Source organism: Homo sapiens, chromosome 12 (assembly GCF_000001405.40).
Source record: "Homo sapiens chromosome 12, GRCh38.p14 Primary Assembly".
NCBI classification, from domain to species: Eukaryota; Metazoa; Chordata; class Mammalia; order Primates; family Hominidae; genus Homo; species Homo sapiens.
In genome coordinates, this window is record NC_000012.12 from 129,550,721 (window position 1) to 129,565,287 (window position 14,567).

General features: G+C 41.8%; 1 protein-coding gene across 1 annotated transcript in view, besides 1 other annotated feature; it reads right to left on the minus strand.

Annotated features, from left to right (window-relative positions):
- TMEM132D (transmembrane protein 132D) overlaps positions 1–14,567 on the minus strand; it is an 832,300-nt gene that overhangs the window by 478,995 nt on the left and 338,738 nt on the right. The gene's annotated exons all lie outside the window — the stretch shown is intronic.
- Positions 2,512–3,011: an enhancer, noted in NCBI's record as "H3K4me1 hESC enhancer chr12:130037777-130038276 (GRCh37/hg19 assembly coordinates)". NCBI's record gives its function as "activates a minimal SCP1, AML or CMV promoter by ChIP-STARR-seq in naive H9 embryonic stem cells {active_cell/tissue: H9 hESC(naive)}" and the evidence as "EXISTENCE:reporter gene assay evidence [ECO:0000049][PMID:30033119]".

The window sequence follows — 14,567 nt, forward strand, 5'->3', positions numbered from 1 at the left end:
TAATTGATCAGTTTAAATCTCCACTCAGCTTTCCTCTCACTACTTCAGTCCACTTGGTGTTCAGCAGATATGGCAGATTGTATTTCCAGAGATGACCACAACAGTATATACCTCCTAACCCTAGCACCCTTCCTCCCAACAGGCAGGAGGAGGAGGAAAGCTTGTGCCTGAGATAGAAGTCACACTATGAGGCTGTGAGTTCTGTTATGAGAGGAAGATCAGCCTCCACCATCCTCTTGTGATACTTGGAGCTCAAAGCCACCACTTAAGAAGCTCAAGGCCACCATATTGTGAGGAAGCCCCACCACAAAGTAGTGCCATGAACCAGTCTGAAACCCCAACGGGGGTCCCAGGCAAGAGCCAGCCTCAACCATTGCACATGTTTGGAGTGGGCCTTCACAGGATCCCAAGCTTCAGGGATCTGCCAGCTCCTCCAAGACTTCCTGGCTGAGGCCCCAGCCATTGTGGAGTAGAGGCATCTACTAACTTTTGTCCTTCCAAGTTCCTGACCCACGGAATCCAGGAGCATAAGAAAATGGTGGTTGTTTAGAGCATTAAGTTTGTGTGCTTTGCTATGCAGCGAGCAAAAGTGGAACAACAGTGTTCTGAAGTGAAACTGGAAAATCATTGCCTGCCTGCCCTGGGTCTGCACAGAGGCCAGGCTGGGCTTAGGAAGGCATGTCTCTCTCTTGGGAGTCATTAAATAGCAGCTCAGGGGTTGAATGTGTCCTACAAATATTGTCCCTAATGTAATTTTACTCCATTTTGATCATCTGAGCCAATAATTTAAAATTAAGACATTTGCTTTAAAAAAATCCAGATTTTTGGCTTGTCTTGGAACATAACACAATAACACTTGACCTATCTACTTTAGTATAGCGCCAATCAGTTGGGGCTGCCACCTTTAAACAGTGCCTGATTTCTTCCATCTGTGCCAGCTCCCACGATTCATGGAGCACCTCCAAACACAAACCTCTCTCTTCTACACGCCCTGCCTAATTCATTTCATTGTATTACCTGCCTGTCTCACTGAAGGTCATAGAGTTGGGAACCTCTGCTTCTGCCCTTAGAATTCACCAAGGGTCCAAAGTGCTAATGCCTGAGTAACCACAGATTTTAATAGTTTGATTATCATCCCCTGATATTAAAAATAAAGAGAATAAAGAGAACTCAACACCCTCTGATATTTTGGTTGGGGTGAGGGATATATCACTGGGAATATGACAAGTAGCATATATGGGCAGAAATGAAGTTGAGTCCTCTTCTGACCAGAAAGTCCTTATACATAGGCGAGGGAAGGGTCTCTCTTGCTCTAAATTCCTTCCTACAAAATCAGGAAAAAGTACTAGTGTTGGGCCTGAGAGTAAATGAATAAGTTGTGTTCAGGAAGAAATATCACAAAGAAATGAGGGAGGTATATCCATGTGCTATCAGGACAACTCCAAGTCAAACCATTTAAATACACTGTATGTAGATCAGCAATTGAAGGATTGAGTTTGCAACAAGAAAGTAACTTTGTAACTGTTTTCTTCCATATTAAAATCTAACATATTGTCTACCTATGCATTTATGTCTATTATCTATCATCAATCCATTATCTATATATCTGGCTACCTATCTACTTATTATCTATATACCTAACATCTATCTGTTTATATCCATTATCTATTATCTACCTATACATCTATCATCTACCTATCTACCTAGCATCTATCCATCTACCTACCTACCTAGCATCTGTTTATATTCATTATCTATTATCTCTCTACATTATCATCTATTATCTGTCATCTACCCATCTACCTAGCATCTAACTACCTACCTATTATCTATCGATCGATCTATCATCTATCTGTTCACATCCATTATCTATTTTCTATCTATTATTTATCATCTATTATTTATCTGTCATCTACCTATCTACATAGCATCTATCTACCTACTTGCCTGATATCTATCCACCTAGTATTTATCTGTTTACATCCATTACCTATTATCTATCTACATTATCATCTCTATTATCTGTCATTTACCTATCTACCTAGCATCTATCTAGCTACGTACCTACCTATTACGTATCTATCTAGCATCTATCTACCGGTTTATATCCATTATCTATTATCTATTTATATTATCTATCATCTACCTATCTATTTATCGATCAGTCATAGCTAGTGACTCACTGTTCTCCAAGTATAAAGTGTCACCTTTTGATCCTGGCATTTAAGGTCATCCACGGTCCAGATCCAACAACTACAACATGGATGCCCCAAGTCCGAGTCTCTGGGGACAAGAAAGGTCACGCCACCATCCGAGCCCCAGCCTTGCTGGTCTGACAGCATCCACCGGAGCAGCTTCGGTTACTCAACCTTTCAAGGCCAGGCTCTTCCCCTTTTGAGACTCCGAGAGTGTTGCGCGTTTGCTCCCAGCTGTGTCTGAGTCACTGCTTGTGGCTCATCAGTCAGGCTCCCTGCTGGTCGCTCTCACCACTGCTGCCCCGATGCCCAGCTCTTCACTCTGCCACAGTGGCCCGTGGTCCCTGGCTGCGTGAGTCCATCCTGGGGCTACGAGACTTTGCACCTGTGCTGCTGCTGTCAGGCTCGCCTTTCCCCTGCCCCCTCACTCTCTGCTCTGTGCGTGTCTGTGCACTGACAGGTCCATGGCTTCCATATGTAACATTTACCCCATGATAGGCACTCTTTTAGGAAAGACTCAAGGAGAAACTACCACGTTGTCACTTGGAAACACTGTACGTCTGTGCCTTCAGGCAATGAGGCTGACTCAGTGGTGGGATGGAAAATGTTTTGCAGCTGGCAGGGAGAGGGAGCGTGGATACCAGCCTGATTTGTAACACCTGCCCATTTCCATGGTGTAAATGTTCCCACCATGACTGTTTTCAAGCTCCCAACATGACAGCATTGAATGTGTCATTGGGAAGAGATGCACAAATTGGGCTCCCCCAAGCTCCAGCACACCACAAGCACTCATCTTCCTTTCATCTCTAAATTTATCACTCTAGAAAGCCCGTCTATTCCGCAGTCCTCTTCCATTTTCCAGTTCCCTGGTCATGCTATTTATGTTTCCTCATGATCACAGACACAACTCAGATTCTTTGCCCATGAGGATCCTCAACCCCTAAGTAAGTTAACGCAAGTGGACTCCATGGGAGAAATGTCACTTCCCATGCTTTGCGTATGTCCAAAAGCCAGGGCCCATCTCAAAGGAAACTCTCCAAGCTTTCTTTCCGGGTCTCTCCACAAATCTTTGATTATCCTTTAATCAACACTATCTAATCGGTCTTTCCTCAAAATTCTAGATATAGTCCCAGTTTCTCCTCAACTAGGTATATGTCGGAATTCCTGTCTTCTCCATACTCCCCCCTGTGTGATTATGTCCCTTCCACAGTTTCTATTCCTTAAAACAGTGGTGCTCACGGCTCACACTGCATCATCACACCACTCTTTGGCCACACCAAGCCAGGGTCAGAGACCTCATCTGAGGACTGCCCTTTCTCATCTGGCTGGTGGCCTGTGGACTGTGATGACAGCTCAAAATGTTTAATCAGATTTGTTTCTCCCAGTAATTTGAACCACAAGGCACTAAGTAACGATGCCAGGTGGTGCTGGGTTTCAATATGGAAAATTCATGCAAGCATGGCCTAGGATGGACAGCCATCTGCAAGTGGAAGAGAAAGGTGGTCGAGAGAGAGAAGCGTGCAGCAGAGACACTGAGAGAGAAAGAAAAAGGTGACCCTTGATTCCTGAGGGCATCACAGTTGCTTACTGTGGGTTCCATGAGGCCTCATGGTACAGTACTTTATGTTCATGAACAGCCATGTGATTTTCTTCCTTCTTTAGACAACCCTCTCTTCTGAATCTTGTCCACCTATAACCACCTTCTCTCTACTGTCACCTCTTACACAGAGACCTATAACATGGGACCACTTGTTGAACTGGATATTTTCCGCCAGTGACTTTCCTTTATTGGGAAGATAAACCTGGAGACCTGCTTTCATGGGGAATCACATCAGATGCTGCAGGAGGGAGGCCAAAGGCTTAGGAGCACCAGGTGGGTCAGACTTGAGTCCAGCTTCCTACAACTTCTCAAAGAGGTGGACTCCAACTAGATCAGATTCTCCTTCATCAGGCCACAAAATGTTTCTGAAATGCTGACGGCCTGGTCTCCTTTGGTGACTTCTCCCTGTTTTTCATGGAGTTCCAGTCGCTTGCATAATTCTCTCTTCTAGCCCTACTGTGGCCTAAAACCTCCAGCCCTCCAAAGAACATATTCTCCCCAGCTATTTTAGCATCTCTCTGTCCTTCCAAGACACCAAATATCCTGCCAATGCTTAGGCTGTCAGTGAAAACAATGACAATAATAGGATTGTAGCACATTGCTAAATTGATTGCAATGCCTTCATTTCCACGTTGGAAAAGGAAGCTGATTGCACAGAATTTAGTCTCCTTTTTATTAGTACTCAACAGCCCGATGGTATTCACATACAGCTTGCTCCATAACACCGGTGTTGAATGCATGGAAATGTACTTAGCCTACAACAGAACAGACTTGAATTCGAGAATACCCCAATGAAAAAGTAAGTCTGTTTCAGGCAGTACCTTTCACGGAACAAGCCTAAGGTGGGATGAAAGTTGGGTCTACAGAAACAGAATTACCCTGGGATGACCCTGCTTGAGCAGAGTTGGATTACCTCAAAAGCAGAAAAAAATGTCGGCCTTATTAACCATACATGTTAAAATAGCTAGGGAAGCAACCATACATTTATTTCGAAGAGTTTCATGTATAAAATGACATTCGAAAGTCATCAGAAGAAGAAAAATGTTTTTGGACCTTCTAAAACTTATTTTGCAGATCATATTTTGTTGTTGGTATTTCAAACTAATTGTCAGGGAAAGATAAGTGTGACATGCCCATCAATGTCCAGGCCTTTTAAAGTTCTTAATGGGACTCTGCTAATTCACCACATATCCTTTTATAACCCAAATACAATAAAAAACAAAAAATAAAAATAAAGAAAACACTCATTGATTATATATATTAGTTGGTGCAAAAGTAGTTGTGGTTTTTGCCACTACTTTTCTTGGAGAAAACCGTAATTGCTTTTGCATCAACCTAATATTTAAGTACAAAGATTTTCTGACAATATGGCTTTCATTGTCTGTGTCTCTCTCTGTAGATAATTTAGGTGCAAATATAGAAATGTATGAGAAAGCTGGACATACACATCAAATTTGACATTCTTGGGTGATGGGTTACACGGGATTTATGTGTTCCGACTTATGGTTTTTCCATGAAAATGCCAGTTTTCTGTCATGAATGTACATGAACTAGACACCAACGCAAAGCATGGAACAGGCCACAGGGTGCTCCACACTCCCTTTGCCTTCACTACACGAGTATCAAGGTTGCTTAAGTCAGTCCCGAGGCAGGTGCAAGGCTTTGGGAAGAACAGTCATGCTCTGTTCTGTTTCATTCTCTAACACAAACATTCCACCGCTGCTCGTCTCACCCAGCAGCTGTCTGTGCACCAACATTAGAAAAAAAGGTGCTGTTTCTGCCTCTGCCACCACCCCTGCCAACACCTGCCCACCTGACACCTGGATCGGCACCGAGCAGAGGCAGGTCCCGAAGACTCTGCTCCATGGGTCCAAGCTGAGCGCAAATCCTAGCATGTCTCTCGCCAGAACACTGGTTCTTATCATGTCTTCCCCTGGCAATGGGGTGGAGCTTTTTTTTTTCCCCCAGAGGTGTTTTAGTGAGAAGCAGAGGGTTGTCTCAGTGGTGACCGAAAATGGTAGAAAAAACCTCAAATACTAATATAATAGGTTGCCTTCCTTTTAAAGCAGTGAATAGAAATAACTTTGCAATTTTACTTGGAGCTTTTTTATACCTGGTAGTCCAATAACCTAGTTACCTTATTTGCATACATCTGGGAAATCCAATGTCCAAAACGATAGCCCCTGATAATGGAAATCTATTTAAATTTCAATTAGTTAAAATAAAATGAAGTAAATTCAGCTCCTCAGCTGCGCAGCATCACTTTAAGAACTCACAGCCACATGTGGATGGGGGTTCCCATATTAGACGGTGAAGTTAGAGAACACTGCCATCACCACAGAAAATTCTATTGGAGAGAAATGCTCCAGAATAATTTTGACAAAACTTTGTATCCCCAGGCACATTTTAAAGTTGACATTTAAAATTTTCCCTCCTAAGCTGCAAAGGTTGAAATTTTCAGTATATTGTAACTATTGACATTTTAAAATTAAACTGTTATATCCTTCTTTTAAAAGTGTTCACTGGAATCTAAATACCATGGTGATTTGATACCCACCATTATTCACTTTTAAAGAAATATATAGACAACCTCTTCCTTATCAGAGTTAAGTTTTATAGCGGTTTACTTTTTTTAGCTTCCATTTTTATTTTACTTATGCCACAGAATTTTGCTCTAATGTGTTCTATTTTTACGTTCAAATATCTTTTATTGATTACTCTGTCATACTTCTCAGCAGTAAAAATATGCATATAGATTCAAATTTATTTTTTATCTGTGCTTATAGGCTCTAAATGTTCACTCATAAATACAGACAGTATAATGGTGACTGCCAGGGTGTGGGAAATGAGAGAAATGAGGAGACGTGTTTAAGGGGTGAAGAGGTACAAACTTTCAGTTATAAGATGAACAAGTTATGGCCGGGTGCCATGGCTCACACCTGTAATCCCAACAACTTGGGAAGCTAAAGCAGGAAAATCACTGGAGTCCAGGAGTTCAAGACTAGCCTGGGCAACACAGGGAAGCCCTGTCTCTACAAAAAAATCAGAAAATTAGCCAGGTGTGGTAAGGCATGCTTGTAGTCCCAGCTACTTGGGAGGCTGAGACAGGAGGACTGCCTGAGCCTTGGAGATGGAGGTTGCAGTGAGCTGTGATCACACCATTGCACTCCAGCCTGAGAAACAGAGCAAGACCTTGACTCAAAAACAAAACAAAACAAAAGCATGGACAAGTGATGGTTCTGACATTGAGCATGGGGCTGATGGATGGGTAAATCTGATTGTGACAATGATTATACAACATACGCATATATCAAATCATTACATTGTATACCCTGGATAGGTACAATCTGTATTTGTCAACTAAATATTTTAAAATACATAAAGTTCTACATTGAGATTTCCTTTTAATTATATTCAGTATACACATAAGCAAAAAGACAGTAAAATAAACTATATATTTTAAAGAGCAATTACTCAACATAATACAGTGAACCATTTATCAGAAATGAGTGCTATCAGGAATGGGGTTACATAGTCAGGGTGGTGTATATGCTGAAGTAACAACCCCAACTCTTGCTGGCTTAACAAAGATGTATCACTTGCTCAAATTTGATGTTTATAGGGACAGGCAAGAATCCAGGCTGATGGAACCCATCTTAGGACGGATGTTGCCCTCACTACACATTGCTTTGGAATTTCCTGACCAAATGAAGAGACAGCATGAAAGATCACATTCTGGCTCAGAAATGCTTCTACATGGAAGTGACACACATCGTTTGGGCCAAAGCAAGTCATGTGACCACAGCCTACTTCATGTGGTCAGGGAAGGGTCCCATTCCTATGGGTTTCATCTGGACAGAAAAACTAAAGCAGCTTTAGAATATTTCAATTAGAGAGTGTTTAAAATGAGGAATTAGAAACCACTGGCAAGCAAGGGGTAAGGATCAGGGGGCTACAGGCGACTAGATCAGCTCAGTGGGTGATTTCGAGCGTGGGCTCCTAAGCTGCTGGGAACGTGAGCAATCTCTGTGAAGCCACAGGACACAGTGACTTTCTGTCTACCTTCCAAAACCTCATGCCTCTCATTGGCAGACCGTAACCCAGGACCACACGGGAAAAGGGAATCTGGGAAAGTCAGGTGAAGCGTGCTCTTCTGAAATGCAGAAGAGAATGTAAAGGGAGTGTCAATGACTGATAACTGATGTTCTAGTGCTGAGGCATTCTCCCCTAAGGAGACGGGTCCATGGACTGGAGAAGCGTTGCATTTACTCCAAGAGCAAGACAGCATAGCCTCAACTCAATCCCTACATTTCAATGTTATAAATGTTGTCCTGAGAAACACTGAATGGAGTGTACTTTGTCATAGTAATGGCACTCAATTATTGGAACTCCTACGACAAAAACTGTACAGTAATCCGTCATCAAGAGTGATATTTCAAGATCTGACAATATGAACACATTCTCCTCCTACTTTGTTGAATGCAAAGAATCAGAAATTACATGGATGCCAAAGGAGTTGATATCCAGTCATTAGAGTAATCCACTTTCTCAAAGACCATTAGAGTAATCCACTTTCTCAAAGACATCAGCATCCCTAAATGTCTTACAGGGCTGTCAGCCCATAAGGTTTTACAACCCAACACAATCCACCTAGATAAGTGACAAAATGGCTTTATTTATAAAGTAGGTACAAAGGCAAATGTGGAGCTGAGTTCTTTAACTCTAGGTATTTTTCTTAGGCAGATCAATTTTAGGAAAGAGAATACACAGAAGTAGAGAACTCAGAAAACAGATACTCTTGAAACTATTTACATCCATATATCCTTTGAATGGTTTTGCATAGCAACAGGTATACACGTAGCCCAATTTAAGACCTCTGCAATTAGCAAATTTCCTCAGGGGTCTAAAAGGAGACGAGAGGTCTCGTAGATGAACAATCACAGCACAACTCGCCCACACAAATGGGAAGACGCTGGTTATTTTTTCCAGCAGGTACAAAAGCCTGTGAGTCTTACGCACATGTAATATTTTACGTGTGTGAGAGGTTTCATAAGTTATTACCATCTAAGAGCATAAATGGTAAATCTCTATTTTAATTTCATTCCTCTTCATCTAACATAGATGTCATGATGTAACCTAGAATTCTTCTTGCTTCCTGAATCAGAAGTGTTTATTAAAAGTCCTTCTACCTTGGGCTCTATGCTGGAATACAATCCCCTCAAAAAGTCAACTTGATAGAATCTTTAATATTAAGCCTGCCTTAATATACTTCAATTTCTTTACAATATTTATCGATGTAAAAATCACAAGCATACCCTTGCTTTCTGTCGTGTGAATCTAATCTAAATCCAACCATCCAAGGAACATGTTCATGGAGAAAACCCCCTGGGAAAACAGGATAGCATGCACGTGGAATACAGCTGCTGGCCTCCAGTGAAAAGAGTACTGTTCAGGGTAAGGAGGGTTTGGATGGAAAACCAACAGCTGTTGAGGCCAGAACAATGTATGAATGTTAAAGGAAGCATATTTTAATTCAATGTGAAAAGTGTAACGCTGACAGCTCTATGGGCAACCACATAAAGTGTGTGGCAATATGTAGATTTCTAGGAGTGGGCTCAACTCTTCATAGGTGGGCACCAAGCAAGACATCCAGGGGTCTTAATGTACATCTTCTTTGAAAACACTTAACATTCAACATGCATCTTCTTTGTGTCTGACACTTGTTTTTTGTTGTAGTTTTTTTGCTTTTGTTTTCTTTTTTTTTTTTTTTTTCAGACAGGGTCTCACTCTGTCACCCAGGCTGGAGTGCAGTGGCACGATCTCGGCTCACCACAACCTCCACTTCCCAGGCTCAAGCGCTCCTGCCTCAGCCTCCCGAGTAGCTGGGATCACAGGTGTGCACCACTACCACCCAGCTAATTTTTTTGTATTTTTATTAAAGACAGGGTTTCACCATGTTGGCCATGCTGGTCTTGAACTCCTGACCTCAAATGATCCACCCGCCTCAGCCTCCCAAAGTGCTAGGATTACAGGCATGAGCCACTGCGCCCGGCCAGCACTTGTTAATTGCTAGAGATATACAAGAAGACAAACTAGTCCTGGTTCATACTCTCAAAGAGCTTAACACCCAGGTAGGAATAAATTAGGCAGGTGAAGGTAGCTTATGCTGTGGTAACAAATACCACCTATAAAACAAACAACAAAAGTTTATCTCCCATTCAGGTACTTGCTCACCAAGGGTGGGTGACAACCTTCTTCAGGGAGAGTCAAGAGTGGCTCTGCCACCGGGAATGCTGCCAGACACCTCCATTGGAGAAGATGAAACTTTCATGTTAGTTCTACTTGTGTCTCCCTGTAAGCCACGCGTCACTTTCACATTTATTTTTCCTTCCTTAGAGAAAATTATATGAGAATTTCTAGCTTCACAGTGATGGAGAAGTATGAACTACTTCTCTGCCCAGTAGATATTAGTGAATGGTGGCAACAGACTGCAGGGAGACAGGCATTAAACAGATAATTACTGGATGACAGATAATGGAGAGTGCAATGAAGGAAGGAAGGAAAAGTTAAAGGTGCCATGAGAAAGAAAATTGGGGACTTAATTTGGTTTGCGAGATTCAGGGAATGCCTCTCTGAGAGATGATACTTAAGGTGGAACGTAAAAACATGTCTGTAAGAGTCTATGACCTTATCATCCTGAGTCTAACCAGACTAACTATCCCTAACTTGGGATAAACAGTCTGAACCACTCATCCAACCAATATGAGAGCTATGCATAGATCCTTCAAATGCCTTGCATGGGAGCCTAGGTTTTGAATCCTCCCTGACAGCAAGCACTGCTTTTCACTTGGCAACAGAGACCAATGTATGTTCTCCAGAACTAATTTCATTCATGGAACGCTAGGCATGGAATCTCAGCTGTTCTTCATAGCAGAGGGCTCAGAGTTTCTTCATGTCACACTAATAGTTTCACTGATTGAAAATCCACAGCAGACAAGAATTGGGACTCCCCGAGATAGTGCTGGAGTTAGAATAATTTATGGAGAGCAGTCTAGCACAACATAAGCTATTTAAAGCTGCATAATATACCCACAAACTCTTATTAAGGGCTGAGGTTTTCAACCCTATGAGACAGAAACCAGTTATCATTATGCATCACCATGAAAGAAGATTAAAATTAAATCAATTTGTTTATCTCTGGGTTCTCTGCCCAATTAACATTTCAGAAAGGGAAACATTCTGTCCAGATAAGAAATCAGCCCTCATCCAAATTGAGATATTAAGAATATAAATCTCAGGAGGTTTTCAGAAATAAATTTAATTATCAAAAGGGCAGAAGACCAGTTAAGGCTCAGCTTATGAATTGTTGCTGCTGTGAGTTAGAGTCAGACTCTTTGGACAGTATCCGTTTGAACTGAAGGAAGGTGAAAAGTTTCTGTGCAAATTAATTCAGAGCGTTTAAGTGGACTTACCTCCAGAAATAGAAATGCCACTTTATTTTAATGACTGTTGTATTTTCTAAAAACCTTCTTGAGGAACATTTTACAGTGAAACACTGAAATTTTGTATAGAATATACTATGTATTGATTAATTAATTCATAAAATTCATGAAGGACTTGGGCTTCAGCTAAACAAGGATTTTTCCAAAATCCCAGGTATTTGAGTGTGGATAATCCATCTCAGTGGATTTTCATCATTTCACCAGATCCAGGTCATATCTGGGTTCATGTGTTTGAAAAGTGGCAATGTATTTGCAGATTATTCCATAGTAGATTGTAATGGATTTGAGGCACACTCTACTCTTAGTGAAGACCAGAGTGTTGCTGCAGACCAAGTTACCCAGCTCGAACGCCATTCCCTACTAGCAAGCATTTTTCCTTCACATCAGGTTATTAAACAGATCATTTTACAGGTAGATAACCTGTCAACAGAGAACAGATTCAATCAGGGAGGTTGTGAACAAGCCCTGAGTCACTGCATGGATTCTGGAACCTCATAGAAGGGTATAAATATCTGTACTCTTACAGAAGGAAGACCCAGACTCAAGATCTAGAGATCTGGCATTTACCAGCTCTTTCTCCTTGGATCATAATGTCTCTGAACCTCAATTTTCTAATACGGGAAATGGTAAGAACTTGCTTAGCCCAAACAACAGGATCAACTAAGACTGTGTGTGCAAGAACTTAACCACTGTTCTCCCTGCCACTCCCCAAATCACCCATGCCCTCTATGCATGTTAAAGGGCCCTTGCTCATGCTATTCCTGGGTGTAGAATATCCTCCCAACCTTCGTTCCACCTGGAGAAACCCCGTGCTTCCTTTAAGACCCGGTTTACAGAAAGTCCTCTTGGGAAGACTTCTCTGATTTAATCTGCTTTGACCAAATCAGATAAGCATCCCCTGTACTCCAGTAGAACTCTGTAGATAATTCTATTACGGCACCTACCATCTTGTGCTGTAATTGATATAAGCAAGGCCTAATTTATCACAGGAAACAGCAAGCGCCTTTATCTGTATACTTTTCATCAAGATAGCCCTGGCCTTGTGTGTACTACGTGATCAACAAGTATGCTGATAAAATCATCACATTTGCATTTAATTTTTTTTGAGGCCAGGGGTGCTTTGGTCTATTCCAAACATACATCTGGAATGCTAAAAGTAGGCAGTAGAGAATAACTGCAAGATAAAACTCTCCAAAGTAATGTTTAAACATATTATTCCGTCTTCTCTTGTCCATTTTCATAAAACCTTCAAGATCTTGTTCAAGGGACACAGTGACATAAATTTCTGCTGTTTTAGAAGGCATACAGCTTTAGTTTGTTCTTTTATGTATTTTTGATCCTCAGTGCTCTTAGTTTTGGGTATGTGTGCACCTGTGCATAGCTGAGGATATAGATGGATATCTTTTCCCAGCCCTCTTTCTTTGATCTCCTTCTTAATCTTTCTAAGAGGGGAGAGTGGGAAGACATGCTTAGACACACGGAGTTGGCAATGTAATCAGGCACTGTGGTCAACCTACGAGGGAGGTGACAAGAGAGATGTGTCTGTTTCTGGTAGATATTTCATTCTGAAAAATCTGAAGTGCATAAAGGCTCCCTCCATATTAAACATCAAAGGTCAAATAAAGTTGTCCTTTTAGGATAGATTCAGGACCCTGAGGGAAGGACAGCCTGGCTGGAAGAAGATCTGGGATTGTGGGGAAGACAAGAGGGAGGGTCAACCCACAGACATTCAACCCACAGACAGACATTCAACCCACAGAGAACACCCATCTGAGATGGAATCTTGTACCCAGTAATAATATTTAAAAAATACTGAACAATCAATACATTAAGAGACCAATCAGGATGGCCATGAATGCTGACATGGCGGTACTGCATTGTGCCAGATAAATGTTAGCCTTGGGACAGCGTTTGGGGATAAAGGAAATGATACAAAAGACAGAATCAAACTCCTGGCTGATAGGAAGCAGCTTCTATTTCTGAAGATGGGCAACAGCTACTTTTAAACATTGAAAATATTTCAGGTATAACTAAGACGTTTCAGGGTATTTTCATTAATTAGTCCCAAAGTATCAGGCACATGGCAGTTGTAGTGAGCACCTAGCTGACCTGCCTAGGTAATCACTAAATCTTACATAGATGAGAGAACTGATACTCAAAGCTGATGACATGCCTAAAGTCCAGGTGCTAATTAAGGGCAGCTCTGGTCTTAGAATCTAAGTCTCCTTGACTTGTCAAGTCTATTAAAACAAAACCAGGGATTTTTCTGATATGTCATGTGGCATAGTTCCTGCAAAACACATGGCAGAAAGTTTCTGCATGTTCATAAGATCTGACAGAATTAACAGACTAAAAGGAACATGATATGACAACCTGGTGCCTTCTGGCAAGGAAATCACTGAATCATCTGGGACAAGGTCATGTTTTCCCTCCTCTTTAAGCACTTTGCGGAGGAAGAAGCCCACAGTCTCCTTGGACAGTTATCTTGAGCGTCTGCTATTTTTGCCACTCAACTTTCTTTTACCCTTCTTTCGTTAAAGCAATTCACTTGTATTTCTCCAGTGAACACGTCCCTCGGCCACTCTCAAGCCATGTGGATTGGCTGGAAATGACCCTACTCTTAATTACAAGTATGTTCTCAATGGCTTAAGTCAGGGATTCTCAATGAAATATCTGTGAAGTCCTGAGGGAACCCCAAGATATTTTCAAGGGTTCTGCAAAGTCAAAACTATTTTCACAGTGAAACCAAGATGTTTTTCACATTTGTCACTGTGCTTCCATTTGTACTGATGGTGCAAAGGCAATGATGGGTATTGTTGTCAGGCTGGCATGACCATGGAAGGTAGCGAAACCCAACTGTGCTAGGAATTGGTGTACTGTTGGAGTAGGCAGATGACTAGGTATGAGAAAAGTGGGGAGCCCCTGAGAAAGGAAGGAGGAGAAATACCTATGCAGGAAGAAATGCCCCCAAATGTCCCTTAAGATGCCTAATTACTCACTCTGTGGTTAAACTGTCAGAATGTGGCTAGCCACATGCTGATGAGAAGAAAAATGGGTGAACGGGAAATTCCTAAGAGACACACAAGTGCAGAAAGTACAGATTTCCCTGCTCTATGCCCTTCCTGGGGTGGCAGCAAGGAGCAACACTGCCATCAGATGAGATTCATATTGATCACCAGCCCCACACAGGTGCATCAGCTGACAGTAAAGAAGAATCCCACAAACCTGGTTGGGAACTAGGTGGGACAAAGATGGAAACCTCACACAGAA